The sequence below is a fragment of the Homo sapiens genome, chromosome 11 (genome assembly GCF_000001405.40).
Source record: "Homo sapiens chromosome 11, GRCh38.p14 Primary Assembly".
Lineage (NCBI taxonomy): Eukaryota > Metazoa > Chordata > Mammalia > Primates > Hominidae > Homo > Homo sapiens.
The window spans coordinates 9,148,196-9,166,983 of record NC_000011.10 but is presented as its reverse complement, the minus strand read 5'-3'; the positions used below and the strand labels follow the sequence as shown (position 1 = coordinate 9,166,983).

At 41.3% G+C, this 18,788-nt stretch overlaps 1 protein-coding gene across 5 annotated transcripts in view; it reads left to right on the top strand.

The window, feature by feature from the left end:
* Window positions 1-18,788, top strand: part of DENND5A (DENN domain containing 5A) — a 126,526-nt gene that overhangs the window by 98,367 nt on the left and 9,371 nt on the right. For all 5 annotated transcript variants that reach the window (NR_145966.2, NM_001348749.2, NM_001243254.2 and 2 more), the window contains 5 exons: window positions 1,017-1,148; window positions 6,119-6,271; window positions 14,542-14,626; window positions 16,220-16,304; window positions 16,775-16,903. Coding sequence is in view for 4 of the 5 variants with exons in the window: in NM_001348749.2 (NP_001335678.1) it covers window positions 1,017-1,148; window positions 6,119-6,271; window positions 14,542-14,626; window positions 16,220-16,304; window positions 16,775-16,903 (584 nt within the window). In the remaining variant the exon portion in view is untranslated. The remainder of the gene's footprint in view (window positions 1-1,016; window positions 1,149-6,118; window positions 6,272-14,541; window positions 14,627-16,219; window positions 16,305-16,774; window positions 16,904-18,788) is intronic.

Below are 18,788 nucleotides of genomic sequence, written 5' to 3'. Positions count from 1 at the left end.
GCAGAGGAGTTAAATTCTTCTCAGCTTGGTGGGGGAAATTATTTTCTCAGTGTTACTCAGAGATTTGAGATTTGCTGTAGTCATGTGTTTTTTGACTCTTGTATCTTTTTTTAATTTAATTTTTTAAATTTTTATTTATTTATTTATTTTTTGTGATGGAGTCTCGCTCTGTCGCCCAGGCTAGAGTGCAGTGGCGCGATCTCAGCTCACCACAACCTCCACCTCCCGGGTTCAAGCAATTCTCCTGCCTCAGCCTCCTGAGTAGCTGGGATTACAGGCATGCACCACCACACTTGGCTAATTTTTATATTTTTAGTAAAGATGGAGTTTCACTGTGTTGGCCAGGCTGGTCTTGAACTCCTGACCTTGTGATCCACCCACCTCAGCCTCCCAAAGTGCTGGGATTACAGGCGTGAGCCACTGCGCCTTGCCTGACTCTTGTATCTTTAAATCAAAGGTAATTATACCATTTGGGGAGTGCTTTACATCAGCTAAAACAGAAACCATCATCTCAGTTTTTCTCTTTAATACAAGAATTAAATTAAAAATTTTCTATTCCTAACTATCTGAGCCTAGAAAGAGGCAGCTAAGAAAGTGCGAGAAAATAAGCTGGGCACGGTGGCTCATGCCTGTAATCTCAGTACTTTGGGAGACTGAGGCAGATGGATCACCAGGTCAGGAGATAAAGACCATCCTGGCTAACATGGTGAAACCCCGTCTCTACTAAAATACAAAAAATTAGCCGGGCGTGGTGGCACATGCCTGTAGTCCCAGCCACTCAGGAGGCTGAGGCAGGAGGATTGCCTGAGCCTGGGAGGTGGAGGTTGCAGCGAGCTGAGATCACACCACTGCACTCCAGCCTGGCGACAGAGCAAGATTCGTCTCAAAAAAAAAAAGAAAAAGAAAAAAAAAGAAAATGTGAGAAAATAATGCCCTCTTCAGGCACCCACCAGTACTGCTGACCTTTGGTTTATGTACATGGACACAAAGGGTCTTTATTTTTCTGTTTGATATAGAAGTACATCCAGGAAGCCAGGACTATGGGCAGCACTATCCGCCAGCCCAAACTGTCCAACCTCTCTCCATCAGTGATTGCCCAGACCAATTGGAAGTTTGTAGAGGGCCTGCTGAAGGAATGCCGCAATAAGGTAAGCTGTGGACATCTCTGTATGTGTGCTATTTCTGTTAGCAGCCAAGGTAAGACCAAGGATTGGCTCTGACCACTCCCTCTGGATTTTAAAAATACTGTTGGCTGGGCGTGATGGCTCATGCCTGTAATCCCAACACTTTGGGAGACCATGGCAGGAGGATTGCTTGAGCCCAGGAGTTCAAGACCAACTTGGAGAACGTAGTGAGATCCTGTCTTTACAAAAGTATTAAGATGGGCATGGTGGCACACACCTGTAGTCCCAGATACTTGGGAGGTTGAAGTGGGAGGATTGCTTGAACCTGGGAAGTCAAGGCTACAGTGAGCTATGATGGCACCACTGCACTCCTGCCTGGGCAACAGAGCGAGACTCTGTCTTAAAAAAAAAATCGTTAATATAATGAGACAGTACTAATTTTAAGATCCTGTTAATTTGAAATTAGGTATATTTGTTTTAAATAAAATATACCATTAATTGAGAGCATGCATGCTTTGCTTGATAAAAACTTAATGTATACTCTATAAAAATGAACAACAAGCTGGGCGCAGTGGCTCACACCTGTAATCCCAGCACTTTGGGAGGCTGAGGCAGGCAGATCACGAGGTCAGGAGTTCAAGACCAGCCTGGCCAACATGGTAAAACCCCGTCTCTACTAAAGACACAAAAAATTTAGCCGGGCGTGGTGGCATGCACCTGTAATCCCAGCTACTTGGGAGACTGAGGCAGGAGAATCTCTTGAACCCGGGAGGCGGAGGTTGCAGTGAGCCGAGATCGCGCCATTGCACTCCAGCCTGGGCGACAGGGCAAGACTCCATCTCAAAACAAAAAAAAGAACAACAGAGAGATGTAGTTTTTAATTTAATAAAAAACTTTTTTAAAGACAGGATCTCACTATATTGCCCAGGCTCGCCTTGAAGTCCTGGGCTTAAGTGAACCTCCTACCTCAGCTTCCTGAGTAGCTGGGGTTACAGGCATAGTTTTAAATTTTTGACATTTTACAGTACTTTAAATCAGACTAGTCTTCACTCTAACTTACTTCAACAGATTAGTCTTATGTATTTGCAGATATTTTTTCCCCTTTATTTTTATCTGATAGCAATGATATCTTATATCTAGAAACAGAAATTTACTGGGTACCTACTATGTGCCAGGCTAAAATGTGTCATTCCGTTTAAGCTTAGATTGTTTGGGTGTTTTTCTCTGTTCTACAAAGACATTCATTCTTAATTTTTAATGTTTTAATTATGAATTTAAATGTCTTTTCTAATAAAAAGAATCTTTCAACCAAGGCAGCATACCATAATTTTAGGGCATTTCAACTAACTCAGTCTCTACTACATCCTATTTATTTATCAATGGAATAAAAATAGTCTCCTGCACTTTCAGTTCTAAGTGGTGCCCATTTGAAGTGATGTTCATTTATAGGAGGGAATAAAATATGCTGTCTCTTGCAGAATAAATTATTACTGTTTAAAGCTAGATTGGCAGGGCACAGCGGCTCATGCCTGTAATCCTGGCACTTTGGGAGATTGAGGTGGGTGAATCACTCGAGCCCAGAAGTTTGAGGCCAGGCTAAGCAACATGGCAAAACCTCATCTCTACTAAAAAAAAAAAAAAAAAAAAAAAAAAAAAAAAAAAAAATTAGGCGTGGTGGTGCACACCTTTAGTCCCAGCTACTTTGGTGGGCTGAGGTAGGAGGATCATTTGAGCCCTGGAGGTCAAGGCTGCAGAATGAGACCCTCTCTCAAAAAAAAAAAAAAAAAAAAAAAAAAAAAAAAACCTGATTAATATATCAGTACTGATATTTTAAATTTAGGTTAAAAAAAACTCTGGCCAGGCATTGTGGCCAGTGTGTGTGTGTGTTTGTGTAAAACTTCTGTCAGTTCACTCTGAGTAATTAATATCTGTGATTTTTTTTTCCATACAATTTTGTCTCTTCTGCCTTTCTACTATGAAGAACATTGGTGATGCTGCATTTCTGCATTTTTTTTTTCTAAGCTGCTGGACTGTCATTCTTTTTTTTTTTTTTTTTGAGATGGAGTCTCACTGTGTCACCCAGGCTGGAGTACAGTGACACAATCTCGGCTCACTGCAACCTCTGCCTCCCAGGTTCAAGCAATTCTCGTGCCTTAGCCTCCCGAGTGGCTGGGATTACAGGAGTGCACCACCATGCTTGGCTAATTTTTGTATTTTTAGTAGAGACAGGGTTTCATCATATTGACCAGGCTGGTATTGAACTCCTGACCTCAAGTGATCTGTCTGCCTCGGCCTCCAAAGTGCTGGGATTACAGGTTTGAGGCACTGCACAACTGGCCTGGACTGTCAAAATTCTTAAGTCATGAGATGCATGACCTGGCTGTGACAACTTCCTATTCCTAGCCAATGATGACTGTGAAATACATATCAATTTTAGACATGTTAATATGTGGGAAAATATACATCTAGAATTGAAGAAATATAGTAATCAATGTAACATCACAAAGTATTGGCTTGCACGTGAGGCAACAGGCTGTTGAAAGTATAAATTGGTATGATGATTTTGGAAAACAGCATAGTATTGTTTAGTAATTCTTCTCCTAGGTATATTCCCTAGAGAAACTTTTGGAGCATGTCCCAAGAGATATGTACAAGAAGTTTACAGCAGCATTCTTTTAATAGCCCCAAACTGGAAACAACCAATCAGTTGAGAAAGCCAATCAGTAAGAGAATTAATAAGTATATTGTGGTGTATTCATGTGGTGGAATGCTATACAACAATGGAAATGGATAACAGTTATACACATCAGTGTGGATGAATTTCACAAATATAAACGAGTGAAAAAGCAAATCAGAAGCCAGGAGTATCAGCACACACCTGTGATCCCAGCTACTTGGGAGGCTGAGGTGGGGGGATTGCTTGAGCCTGGGAGTTCGGTTCCAGCCAGGGCAACATGCTGAGACCCAGTTTCTTAAAGAAAAAAAAAAAAAAAAAATCACAAAAGAAACATGCATGCCTATAGTCCCAGCTACTGCGGGGGCTGAGGTGGGATGATCAGTTGAATCTGGGAAGCTGAGGCTACGTGAACCATGATCGAGCCACTGCACTCCAGTCTAGGCAACAGAGAGAGACCCTGTCTTAAAGATACATACAGGCAAACCAAACCATATATTTTAGGGTTAAAAATATAGGTAATAATTTTCTTGCTTTTCTGTAGTTTCGTTGGGTAAGTGGTCACTTCTAGAGTGGGAAGGTGAATGGAAGAGGGCACGTAGGGTGCTTCAAAGATATAAACAGACAGTATTTATAAATAAAATACTGGCCAGGCGCAGTGGCTCATGCCTGTAATCCCAGCACTTTGGGAGGCTGAGGTGGGCAGATCACTTGAGGTCGGGAGTTTGAGACCAGCCTGACCAACATGGAGAAACCCCATCTCTACTAAAAATACAAAATTAGCCAGGCGTGGTGGTGCATGCCTGTAATCCCAGCTACTCGGGAGGCTGAGGCTGGAGAATTTGCTTGAACCGGGGAGGCGGAGGTTGCAGTGAGCCGAGATTGTGCCATTGCACTCCAGCCTGGGCAACAAGAGCGAAACTCCATCTCAAAAAAAAAAAAAAAAAAAAAAGAAGGAACTGGCCTGGCGCTGGTCATAATGATGTAATAGCATATATATATTATATATTTCACAATAAGAAGGTTAAAAACTAACAGTGGAAAGAAATATGCCAAAATATTAAGAGTTGTTGCTTCTGAAAAGTAGGATTGGGGTGATTTGTTTTCCTTTTCTTAGATTTTTATATATCACAAATTTATAGCATAGTTAAATCTTACTTTTGAACTTGGACTCAAAGTTCAGGCAGATATGGGTTCAAAGGCCAGATCTATTGCTACTTTGCTGTTTCATTTTGGACAATATATATATATATATAATTTAATAGAGTGCTATATTACGTATAGATTTTGGGCAAGTTACTTAAGAGAATTAAACTATACTTAGACTATAAATATACTATATTGTTTTATACTATGTTTAAATTTAGTATATTGATTACTGTATTTCTCAATTTCCGTATTGGTAAATTGGGAACAATAATAATAGTTACCTCAGATTGTTAGGAGGCTTAAATGAGATAATGAAATGCTAAGTACAATGCCTGACATAGTACTTAATAAAAACTGTGATTATCATTATGCAGTATGTGTTTTCTTGGTTATGATCTTACAATAAGCAGTTGAAAATTTTTATGTAAAATAAATTACCTCCTCAATTTTTGTCCCCTTGACAGTTATTTCAGATATGTTTCTAAGTTGTATGTATGCTCAAAGGTTTGTTTGGTAGGGTCATTTAAGCAGTGGGAATCAGACAATGTCAGAGATAAGCATGACTGAAGGGTTTATTTGTTTCTTGCATAAATGCAAAAACTGAATACAGAGTGATGAAATCACTGGCCAGGAGTCATAAAGATTGCTGTGTTCTTATCCTTTCCTTAACTACATATTTTTTTTTTTTTGAGACGGAGTCTCGCTCTGTTGCCCAGGCTGGAGTGCAGTGGCGCGATCTCAGCTTGCTGCAAGCTACGCTTCCTTGGTTGACGCCATTCTCCTGCTTCAGCCTCCTGAGTAGCTGGGACCACAGGCGCCCGCCACCACACCTGGCTAATTTTTTTGTATTTTTAATAGAGACGGGGTTTCACCGTGTTAGCCAGGATGGTCTCGATCTCCTGACCTTGTGATCCGCCCAACTAGGCCTCCCAGAGTGCTGGGATTACAGGTGTGAGCTACCACACCTGGCCTTTCTTAACTAAATTTTTAAAGCATGCACTCCCTTGTAACCTGACCTACATGGGTATAAATATATTCTGTGTCCTTGGGGCTAATTCATCCTGTCCTTCCCAGCCCAACAGATGTACTGTGCAGGCTGTCAGAACCCTCTCCGGTTGTATGTAATCCTGCTCACTGTGGTTATTTAATCCTGTTGACTGCTTCCTTGTAGACCAAGAGGATGCTGGTGGAAAAGATGGGCCGAGAAGCTGTGGAGCTAGGGCATGGGGAGGTGAACATCACAGGGGTGGAAGAGAACACCCTGATTGCCAGCCTTTGTGATCTCCTGGAAAGGATCTGGAGTCATGGACTACAAGTGAAACAGGTAATGTATGTCTTGCCTCTCATTGCTGAGCAAATTGTCTTCCTGTTTTCAGTTACTAGCTTTCCCACACTCTTTTTGTCCAGCTGACTGGCTTTGAAGAATGGTGCACAGTGCCCTGGAGTGAGATTTGAAATAAACAATTAAATAAATGTGATCCAAACTATTTTCCTTAAAGATAGGCTTTATAAATCTGTGTGTTTGTCAGACTTTTAAAAAGAGGCATCTTTCTTCCTGGGGGTAGAGCTGAAGGCCAACCTGATAGGTCCTGTTTGGCAGCTGGCCCTAGTCTAGAGATAGACCAGAAAGAGAGAAGTTGGAGCTCAGGAAGTACCAGTCATACACTAAAGGTTCTTCACTAATCATATATTCACAGTGGAAAAAAAGTCTGTCATTAACATTTCTTTTGTATGCAGATGGTTTAACTAAACATTTGAGAGAAGGCCTCAGGAAGTTGAGTAAGTTTGATTTTTCCACTTAATACCCAGAGAATTTCCTTATTTCAAAATACTCTGTTTTCAATTGGTAGTCAAGATAGATACCTTTTATTTTTATGTATTTTTAAATTTGAAAATAACTTGAAATTTTTTGAAAAGAAGTTTTATCATGGAAAAATTAGAAAATACATATTAGTATCCATTGGTATTTCTCAAGGGCCTACTATGTCAGGTACTGTTGTAGGCACTAGAAATACCTCAGTGAACAAAACAGACCAAGATCTCTTGCCTTCCTGTGTCATTCTAATGGGTATAGCAACAATCTTCCACACATGTTCTTCAGAGCATTCTTCTGTGTACATATGCCCATGCGTATATAGCTGTATATTTAAAAACCCAGTGGAACCACAATGAGATACTATTTCACATCCACTGGAGTAGTTAAAATAAGTAACAAGTGTTAAGGATGTGGAGAAATGGGAACTTTCATACATTGCTGATGGGAATGTAAAATGGTGCAGCCACTTTGGAAAACAGTCTGGCAGTTCCTCAAAATGTTAAACAGTTCTTATATGACCTAGCAAGCCCACTTCTAGATACATACTCAAGATAAGTGAAAACATATGTCTACACAAAAACTTGTATACAAATGTTCATAGCAGGCCAGGCGCAGTGGCTCACACCTGTAATCCCAGCACTTTGGGAGGCCAAGACAGGTGGATCACTTGAGGTCAGGAGTTTGAGACCAGCTTGATCAACATGGTGAAACCCCGTCTCTACCAAAAATACAAAATTAGCCAGGTGGTGGTGCATGCCTGTAATCCCAGCTGCTTGGGAGGCTGAGGCAGGAGGATCGCTTGAACCCAGGAGGCAGAGGTTGCAGTGAGCCAAGATTGCACCATTGCACTCCAGCCTAGGCAACAAGAGTGAAACTCTGTCTCAAAAAAAAAAAAAAAAGAAAAAAAAGTTCATAGCAGCATTAGTCATAATAGTGTCATCTTATGTGGCTATTATGACCCAGATATTTATCAGCTGATGAGTGGGTGACCTAAATTTGGTATAATACATTGGAATATTATTGAGCAATAAAGGGAATAAAGTACCTACATGTGGTACAACATGGATGAACTCTGAAAACATACTAAGTGAAAGAAGCCAGACACAAAAGGCCACAGATTGTGTGATCTCATTTATACAAAATGTCTAAAATAGGCAAATCCACAGACAGAAAGTAGATTAAGGGTTGCCAGAGGCTAGAGGAAGGGAGCAATGGGAAGTGACTACTAATGCATATGGAGTGTCTTTTGGGGGTGATGAAAATGTTCTAGAATTAGATAGTGGTGATGATTGCACAACTCTATACTAAAAACCAGATTTTTTTGTTCAGAAAATTGCATACTTTAAAAGTGTGAATTTTATGGTAATATGAATTATATCTCAATGAAGTGGTTTTTTAAAAAATCCAAATGAGTTAATACTGTATGTAATGCTTTGCAACTTGCTTTGTTTTTATCTCATATCTTTTCTATGTCCTTAACTAATTTTTAGATGATAGTATAGTAAGTGTTTAAGAGCTTGACTGTAAAACAGACAGATCTGGGTTTGAAGTATGATTTCCACTTAATAACTTTATGAAACTAAGCAAGTTACCTAGCTTCTCTAAGCCTGTTTCCTTATATGTATGATGGAATTTTATTTTATTTTATATTAATTTAATTTAATTTAATTTTTGAGACAGCATCTTGCTTTGTTGCCCAGGCTGGAGTGCACTAGCATGATCTCTGCTCACTGCAGCCTTGACCTCCTGTGCTCAACTGAGTCTCCCACCTCAGCTTGGAGACTCTTGGAGACTGAGACTACAGGTGTGTGGCACCATGCCCAGCTATTTTTTTTTTTTGTAGAGATGAGGTCTCCCTATGTTGTCCTGGCTGGTCTCAAACTCCTGGGCTCAAGTGATCCTCCTGCCTCAGCCCCCCAAACTGCTGGGATCACAGGCAAAAGCCACTGTTCCCTGCCTGATGGAATTTTAAAAGTACCCACATCCATTGGGTCCTTGTGTGGATTCGATAATTAATGTAAAGCACTAAGCTCAGAGCCTGGTTTCTGGCTCTTTGGATGTTTGTGGTTATTGTAAAATCTCAGTTTTAATGACTACATCTGTTGTATAGATGTGCCATACTTTAATCAATCTCTTATTATTAGTCATTTAGGTTAATTCTGATTTTTCAGTATTGTAAACAACACTGCATTTATAGTTTTTTAAATGTTAAAAATTGTGTATTGCATTCCTAAAATTTTGAGACTGGTGTAGTAGCAACACTATGAACTGTGAGTCAGAAAGACTTGGGTTTGAATCCTGGCTCCACTGGATGACTTTAAATAAGCAACTTGCACTTTCTGAAATCCAAATCCATGAAAGATAGATAGTTAATAAAAACCTGTCTTTCAGAATATTAATTGTTCTACCATAAAGACATATGCACGTGTATGTTCATTGCAGCACTATTCACAATGGCAAAGTTATGATCAACCTAAATGGCCATCAACGGTAGACCAGATAAAGAAAAGGTGATACATACACACCATACAACACTACACAGCCATAAAAAAGAACTAGATCATGGCCTTTGTAGCAACATGGATGCAGCTGGAGACCATAGTCCTAAGTGAACTCATATAGGAACAGAAAACCAAATACTGCTTGTTCTCACTTATAAGTGGGAGCTAAACATTGAATACCCATGGACACAAAGAAGGGAACAACAGGCACCAAGGCCTGCTTGAGAGTGGAGAGTGGGAGGAGGGAGAGGACTGAAAAACTACCTGTGGGGTACGAGGCTTATTACATGAATAATGAAGTAATCTGTACACCAGACCCCTGTGATACGCAGTTTACCTATATAACAAACTTGCATGTGTGCCCCTGAACCTAAAATAAAAGTTAAAAGAATTAAATAAATATCTTTCAGCTGTGATCATTAGAGGCAATGAAAGGAAATACCTGGCGTGTGATAAGTATCCAACATATGACAGCTATTATTATGCTGGGTTCTGTATGGAAGGGTTTGTTTCTTTTTCTCTATAATAAGTGAGTAGAATACATATAATCCTTTTATCATTTTCCATAACATTTAGCAAGCCTGGCACTATAGTTGAGCTCTTTTAGCTTTGAGGTAAAACATATATGCTGAAAACTTTTAAATATTTACTGCAAAAATTTCTAGGGAGTTAGTGAAGCTTCTTCCTGTATTTTGAAAAATAGTATCGTATCATTATATGTTCTAAGTCTGTGTTCTACTGTATTCTGCAGTAATTCTCACCATAGGAGGAATTTATTATTCTGCAGGAATTCTCACAGTAAGAATATCTTCCTTCCTTCCTTCCTTCCTTCCTTCCTTCCTTCCTTCCATCCATCCTTCCATCCCTCTGTCCCTCCTTCCCTCCTTCCCCTTTCCCTCCCCTCCCCTTCTCTCTTTCCTTCGAGAGTCTCGCTCTGTCACACAGCCTGGAGTGCAGTGGTATGATCTCAGCTCACTGCAACCTCCACATCCTGAGTTCAAGTGATTCTCCCACCTCAGCCTGCCAAGTAGCTGGGACTACAGCTCCGCACCACAATGCCTGGCTAATTTTTGTATCTTTTTTTTTTTTTTTTGAGACGGAGTCTCGCTCTGTTGCCCAGGCTGGAGTGCAATGGCGCGATCTTGGCTCACTGCAACCTCCACCTCCCTGGTTCAAGCAGTTCCCCTGCCTCAGCCTCACGAGTAGCTGGGATTACAGGCTCAGGCCACCACGTCCGGCTAATTTTTTTGTATTTTTAGCAGAAGTGGGGTTTCACCATGTTGGCCAGACTGGAATTTCTTTTAGAGTTCATTTGAGCCCCCTCTTATTTTGGAGAGTTAGGCTGCTTGTTTGGTGAGAAACCAGTGCAAAATAATGGGGGCTTTTTAGTTGAGGTTCCATTTTGTTCTGAGTCCTGGCTTTTGGAGCTCTGGAAGTGAAGCAGTGACAGTGTCACCAGAGGAGAGTGAGGATCTGTTCTTGCTGGCATGGCGTTAATGCTCTTAGGGATACGTGTTCAGCTGGAGATTGACCCTGATGATCTATGTTGGGTTCCTAACACCATGTTCTCCCTAGGCCTCCATTTTGCTGGCTTTATCCTGCTGAGACATTCTTCAGTTATCTTCCAATCCAGCGGTCACACCCTGGTTACCTGCTGTCCTTTATCATACACCCAGATTGTGACTAAATTTGCTCTCAGAGGGTGATTTTATTATGCCCTTGTGGGGGTACCTTCCTAAGCAACCGCCCATTATTATCTGCTCAGAAAGTAGAGAGAACCCAAACAGCATTTTTGCTGCTGGCCTCTTAAATTTTGTTACTAGCCTTGACTGCTTGGATGTAAGGCTGCCTGCAGCAAGTCTTCATAAGAACCTCTGTTATCCTCACCACTCTCTTTGGCTTTCAGTGACATCTTCCAAGGAGATGGGCTTCCACCTATAGTATGTTTTTCTATCAGATAGAGGTTTGGTTTTTCATACTGGTTTTGTAACTGCTGCCATTTAGGGTTGACACATGAAAAGGAGTTGTTACTTATCTTTCTTGCTTATGACATTCTTGTAGAATCTGATGCAGTTTATTGTGTGTCCATGTCCATAAATGGATAGTCAGGCTGTATTGAACCTTGCAATCCCAATCAGACCCTTTGCAAAAGAGGAAAAAGAGTAGGCCATGTCTCTTGAACTAGAAAGACCAAAGAGCAGCCCAGCTGCTGCTCTTCCACTCCTGCCCTTGCTCTTTCTCCTCACCTCTGTAAACATTGTGAGCCAGGGGCTTCCTTCTTCTGGTATAGTGGCCTGATTTTGCCCTTGTCCTTGGCTCTTTAGTGTTATTGCATGTCAGGCTCTCTGGTCACCAGCTGTACTTAATGTGTGCCACATTCAGACAGTTCTATTAATTTATCTTAGGCTGCTTTCCTAGTCTGCCTAGATGCTGGGGAGCCTACTTTCTAATGGTTGTGGTAGATGGAAGGATGAATGGATTTCTAGAAGTTGAATTACTAAGTCAAAGACCATAAATATTTTAAGCTCTTATATTATCTGTTAGATACATTAATAGACCTTTTTTTTTTTTTAAATGGAGTCTCACCCTGTTGCCCAGGCTGGAGTGCAGTAGTGCCATCTTGACTCACTGCAATCTCTGCCTCCTGGGTTCAAGCAGTTCTCCTGCCTCAGCCTCCTGAGTAGCTGGGATTACAGGTGCCTGTCACCATGCGCGCCTAATTTTTGTATTTTAGTAGAGATGGGGTTTCCTCCTGTTGGCCAGGTTGGTCTCGAACTCCTGACTTCAGGTGGTCCACCCACCTCGGCCTCCCAAAGTGCTGGGGTTACAGATGTGAGCCACTGCGCCCAGTCAACCTTCTTTTTTTTTTTAAGTTTTTTAAATTAAAATTTTTTTTTCTTTTTGGCTCCCAACAGGAAACAATAGACCTTCTTAGAAGCAGTTAGTATAGGATTTGTAAGTCTCATTAATGTTGTTAGACATTTTTTTTTTCAAATATTTGTTATTTGGATGAATAAAACCTGGTATTTTCTAATTTTAGTTTTTATATATTTTAAAAATTGTCTTTGAAGTTGTTGGGTTTTAAGTTTATGAATTTTGTAGGAAGTACAAACATACAGCAAGCTTATTTTGACAGCTTGCTGATCTATAGCGAGGGTTTCCTACCATTCAGATGTTTGTTTTTTTTTTTCCCCAGAGTAGATCAAGTTTGTGAATAGAAACAAAATAGACCCTCAGTATTCTCATGGGGTATATCTTAAGACCTTAAATCTTCACATTAATTCCATAGCACAAAATTTTCCTCAGAAAGTATAACTTAAAAAGTTAAATGATCTTTTCAGAAGCATCTCGTGTAGCATAGTTATTAAGAGCAATGGTTTTGACATTAGATAGACTTAAGCTTGAATCCCAACACTCTGCTTACTAACGGTGTGACCTCTTACAAGTTAACTTAACCTTTCCGATCCTCAATTTCTTCTTCTCTACAGAAAATAGGGATAGAGATATCTACCTTATTAGACTGTTGGGAGCATTAATTAAAATATTGTATTTTGAACATCTGACATAGTGCTTAGTTCATAGTAAGCCTCAAGACCTGGTAGCTTCTATCATTATTATAGAACCAAAGTCATTTATAAAATTATTGTAATCTTACTAAAACAAACATACCACCTTTATATTATTTTATTATCTGCATGGGAACATTTACCATGAATCTGAAATAAAGTTATCACTTAACAAGGGTTATGATGTACTGAACGATGATTAGAAAGAGACAAAGCAGTTGCTGGGTGACCAGCTGGGCTCACTCATTACCCAGGTGAATTACTCCCTCACATCAGGCTTGCAAATACTATTCAGGTTTGTGCCTTGGCAAAATGACAAATTGCTACATATCTCAAATGGTTTAAAGTGCAGTTCTTACCTTTCCAAACGCCAAGGTTCTATTATATTGACTGTAGTTTATTTCAGCCATGCAGTTAAGTACCAGCCTACCTTTCTGCACATTTCTTCAACTATACCTTCAATAGTAAATCCTTGTTATAGTGATGACTTACTCTCCCTGGCCTGCACTAACAACTTATAAGGTAGCCAAAGATACCACAGTTTCCCCCACTTAACAGAGAAGGAAACTGACATTCAGAGAAGTTCACCAAACTGCTTTGCCTAGTTCACCAAGTAGCAAAATCAGGACTAGAACAATATTTAAAGGAATAACTTTAAATATTTTAGGAAATTCAGGAGCTAAGATGGAAGCTTATAGGCTGGATATCCACTCCTCTGTGCAAAAGCCATCAAGCTGACATAAAACCAGCAGACCATTTAGAGGATGATAGGTCATTTGCTTCTTTTTTTTTTTTTTTTTTTTTTTTTTGAGAGGGAGCCTCATTCTGTCACCCAGGCTGGAGTGCAGCGGCATGATCCTGGCTCACTGCAACCTCTGCCCCCCAGGTTCAACTCCCTCCACCTCCCAGGTTCGGTTCGAGTGATCCTCTTGCCTCAGCCTCCCGAGTAGCTGGGACAGCAGGCGTGTGCCACCACTCCCGGCTAATTTTTGTATTTTTAGTAAGGGTTTTGCTGTGTTGGCTAGGCTGGTCCCGAACTTCTGACCTCAAGTGATCCGCCCGCCTTGGCCTCCCAGTGTTGGGGTTGGGATTACAGGTGTGAGACACTGTGCCTGGCCTGCTTTTTTCTTTCTTTCTTTTTTGTTTTTTTTTTTTTGAGACGGCGTCTCACCCTGTCGCCCAGGCTGGAGTGCAATGGTGCGATCTAGGCTCACTGCAACCTCTGCCTCCCGGGTTCAAGTGATTCTCCTGCCTCCTGAGTAGCTGGGATTATAGCCATGCACCACCACATCCTGCTAATTTGTGTATTTTTAGTAGAGACAGGGTTTCACCATGTTGGCCAGGCTGGAATCGAACTCCTGACCTCAAGTGATCTGCCCGCCTCGGCTTCCTGAAGTGTTGGGATTACAGGTGTGAGCCACCGTGCCCAGCTGCTTTTTTCTTTCTTATCCACTGGTCCCTTACCAGGCTCTCTTTCCCATCTCCTTTCTATTCCCAGTAGGGGACCCTTTCCTTTTTCTGTTACCTTCCATTGTTTATATTTCTTCTGGATTTTAGTAAATTGATATATTTGCATACACTGTGTCCTGGATGTACATTGAAACAAGAAACAGTACATATATTTTTTTAGCAAAAGCTTCTATCTGTATGTTGAAAGCCTTGACCCCTGAAATCTAAACTGATAGGTGTTTCTCCCTTGCATTGGTTCCAGGGGAAATCAGCCTTATGGTCCCACCTGTTACATTATCAGGACAACCGGCAGAGAAAACTCACATCAGGAAGCCTCAGTACCTCAGGTAAGATAGTCTCTGCAATGGAGAGTCTGCCCTCTCTCCACTTTTCCATCACCCACTGGCGTGATCACTTTGAAGCAAACTATTCCAGGTCGAAGAAGCTTTTGCTCTGGAATGTTTTCTCTTTTAAATATGGAGCCACCAGACTCTCTGAACCACAGAGCATACCAAAACCATGGCATTTGCTTTCATTATGTATTTCTATACCCTTTTTATCGGCAAGATAGAAAATTTATTTGGGCAAGAGGCCAGTCTCAGAATGAATATGGGTTTTACTGTGGTACTGGTGTCCTGGGTTTGGAGCAGGCTGTTTTCAGAGTCTTTTGTTTTATTTCTCTGACATGGGCATTATGATTATCTATCCCGTTAGTCAAGAGAGCTGTTGGTCAGTGTCCTTCCTTGGACCTCCTCAAAGTCAAGTCCTGGTGTGAATGATCCCTTATACTTCCTTTCTGTTTCTAACCTAATAAAAATGTCAGAGTTTGTGGCAACTCCAGAGGTCATCTAGTCCAGGCCCTTTATTTTACAAGAGGAGGAAACGAGTCTGGAGAGGAATTGAATTTACTTAAGATCACAAAGTGAGCTCATGGAAGAGGCCAAACAAGAGCCAGTCATCTTATCTCCTGCTCTGATGTTTAGACCATCCTACAGTGTCCTTTCCAGGCTAGTCTCCCTGCTTCTTTTACTTCTTGGGTGCATCTCCCCTTCACATCATCCTTTGTTCTCCACTCTGCCAGACATTTGTTTACCTTTCTTGGATGTTTTTATCTTAATGGTAAAGGTGAGTTAAATGGGGTAAAAAGATGGGCATGAACTCGTTGCCCTTGAACTAGTTGACCTTAACTAGCACTGAACCTGGGGAGATAATTGGCTGAAAACTAGAGACAAGAGTTCTCCAGGTAGGCTTATGAGGAATTTTTTTGGCCCGCTTTCTGGATGTGTAAAAGCAGGTTCTTATTAAGAATGCTATAGAAGTCATTGCTGAGGAATAAACTGTAGCCAAAAATTCTCAACAGCTTGATGATGAAAATACTAAGTTTTAAACATTAGGCCAGACATGAGGATATAAAGGTATTATATCTTCTCTTCTCCTAGAGGTCCTATCATTCTGGAACAGAACCAGAACATTCTTGTTCTTTATATATTCTCTTGGGCTTTTGTAGGCTGCTGTGAAGCCAGAACAGGATGTGAGTAGTGGCTCCAAGTGGAAGCACTGCTTCTGTGGATCATGGTGAGAGCATGATAGACTAGGAGCCAGGAGGTCTGTGTTCCAGTACTGACTTTGCTGCTTGGTGACATAGGCAAAGCAGCTAACCTCTCTGAATGTCATTTTCCTTCTCTGTTAAGTGGGGGAAATTGTGATATCTTTTTTGGCTACCTTATAAATTGTTAGAGAATTAAATGAGATAATATCCATAAAAATGTAAAATTCGGTCTCTAGTAGGAATTTCATAAATATTTATGAAACAATCAATTAAAGTGTTACCAGTGTAACCACCTGTTTCCCATAGCAATTTGTGATTTAAGGTAAGGGAAGGGCAGTCAGCTATTTGGATATTCAGATCTCTTTGGACATGACCAACTTGTTTATTCTAGGAATACTTCTTGATTCAGAACGTAGGAAGTCTGATGCCAGCTCACTCATGCCTCCCCTGAGGATCTCCCTGATTCAGGATATGAGGTCAGTATGGGCTCACATGTAATAAGCCACTAAAATCCTGTTTTCAGTTGCTGCTTAGGTGTCCACTTTTAGTAACAAGGTCTCAGTGGCTGCTACAGCATCTCAGCTAACATGGAAGCCCTCCTAATCACAAAGCCTTGTGTTTCATAATACATTTGTAAAGCTGTACAAACCGTTGGGTTTCCTGGCATTTTTGGAGGTGAGGGAGCATAGGAGAGTATCTCAGGCCCTAAGGGCTCAGAGTTAGCCTGGCTTTTTAAGGGCTGTACTGTCTTTTTTCCTCCCAAAATATGGTGAGCCTATCTGGTAAAGCTACATGGAAGCCCAGTATTTGGAGAATATAGAGATAGGCTCTCCCAGGGTGAGATAAGTCTGTCTCAGCAGGTCTCCTTTGGCTTTACAGGTAAGTTATTGGCAGTGAGTTCATCTCCCATCCCACCCTCCACTTCCTTTTTACATTCTTCCTCCAGGCACATCCAGAACATCGGGGAAATCAAGACTGATGTGGGAAAGGCCAGAGCATGGGTGCGACTGTCCATGGAAAAAAAGTTACTTTCCAGACACCTGAAGCAGCTCCTCTCAGACCATGAGCTCACCAAGTAAGGCTGCTCCGCCAGGAGTAGAAGCAGGCTCCCAGGAATGGAGGGAAGAGATTGGAAACTTGTGTGGGAAGGGGGAGTATTCAGTGTGACATTGCTGCTGCATTCAGCTAACCTCTTTGCTTATGAAGGTTTTGCAGTATTTCCTCTTCTCCCTTTTTATCAGTAGAAGAATACTTCCGCTATATTGGTTCTCCCTGTCTTCTCAACCTGCATGCCCAAAACTAGCTTTCTTGGAGAGGTAGTGGGAAGGATGAGGTCTTCCTCTCCTTCCTGTATTCAGGTGACATGTATACCTCTTGGACATAAGGCGTTTCCTTTGTCTCTTTCCTGTTCTGGGGAGCAAAGGATTGGAGAATTAAAAGGAAACTTCTGAGATGTCCTCTTCTCTCTCTTGTTCAACACATCATACCCCTCACCCCTCTCGGGATGTCTGTAGCCTTTTCTTGTCTGTACTTCTGCATGACCCTAGTCCCTGTCCACACTCTACCTGGTAAACTTCTTCAGGGCTCAGTTTTCTTTCCCAGAGTTTTCCTGGACTCCCCAGAAACGTGGTTCATCCCTCTTCCAGGCATGCATAACATTTGTTAGAATATTTGTTCATCCCCTTTTCACCATGATGTGTTGTATTATCATTGTCTATTTGCTTGCTACTTACTGAAGTTTGCTTTCATTGAAGGCATAAACCTGTCCCTTTCCCAAGGCTGAGCATGTTGCTTGGCATCCACTAGGGATTCAGCCAGCCCACATAAAAGGTATGCTTAGCTGCACAGACAGGAGGTGGACAGTCTATGAAGAGTATATCTTGATAGAATGTCCCTCAGTCTCTGGGATTTCCAGCTAGCCCCCAAGACTGTTTGTAGCTTGGAGATGGGATAAGGTGGAGGCAGGGTTGTATATTCATGGGGGCTGTGTATTCATGGGACCCACTGAATTCTAAATTCCAAAGGAAGAAATGAGTTAGCTCCCATATAGGGAGCCTAAACTCTTTCTCCTTAACTTGTCTGCAGTGACTAATACCATGTAGTGCCCCCTTTACCTTGAAACTCACTTTATGTGGCTGCCATGACCTTATACCATCTTGTTCTCTTTCTCCGCTTACTCTTTGCACAGTGTTGGCTTTCACCATCTTCAATTCTTTGCATGCACACAGTTTCTTTGTTGCTTTCTCGCTTGCTCTCTTACTTGGTGATCTCACCCAATTCTCATGACTTCTCTCACCTCTAAGCAGGAGATGCCCACATCTGAAGTTCTAGCCCTGACATGTCTTTTAAACTCCACTCCTGCATTTATTTCCATTCTGATATTCTATCTTTAGCTCAGAGAGAACAAAAGCAAGCTTCACAGAGTCTTCACCATAACTACTTTACTCTCAGATTTTTTGTTAATGTCACCACTGTGCTCTCTGAAAAGCTTACCCCCACTTCTTCTCCGTACCTACACTGAAAATTTGGAGTCAGTTTTGACTCCTTGCTTTGCTTTATCTCCCACATACAGGTTTCAGGTTCTTCACCTCTGTCCCACCTGTCTCCTTACCATTTTTACTGCACAGACTTAGTTTAATCCTCATTTCCCTTTCACTTCTCACCTGCACTAAATTTAAATTTCCTGAAGTTGGTCATGGCTGTCTCTTTTTCTAGGGCAAATTGCAGAAACCCCTTACTTACTGGGCAGATTGCAAACTCCTTAGTTTAAAATTTTAGGACCTTCCTTCATTTGAATAGCCTTTTTTTTTTTTCATTTGACACCTTTGGTACAGTAGCTTAACTTCTTAGTCTCATTGCTAACTGATCACTTCCCTGAACCCTCAACTCCAGCCAAACTGGTTTCCAAACCTGTCTGTACAACAGTTGTCTAAATTTCTGCTGCCCTTCAGGTCCCTCTT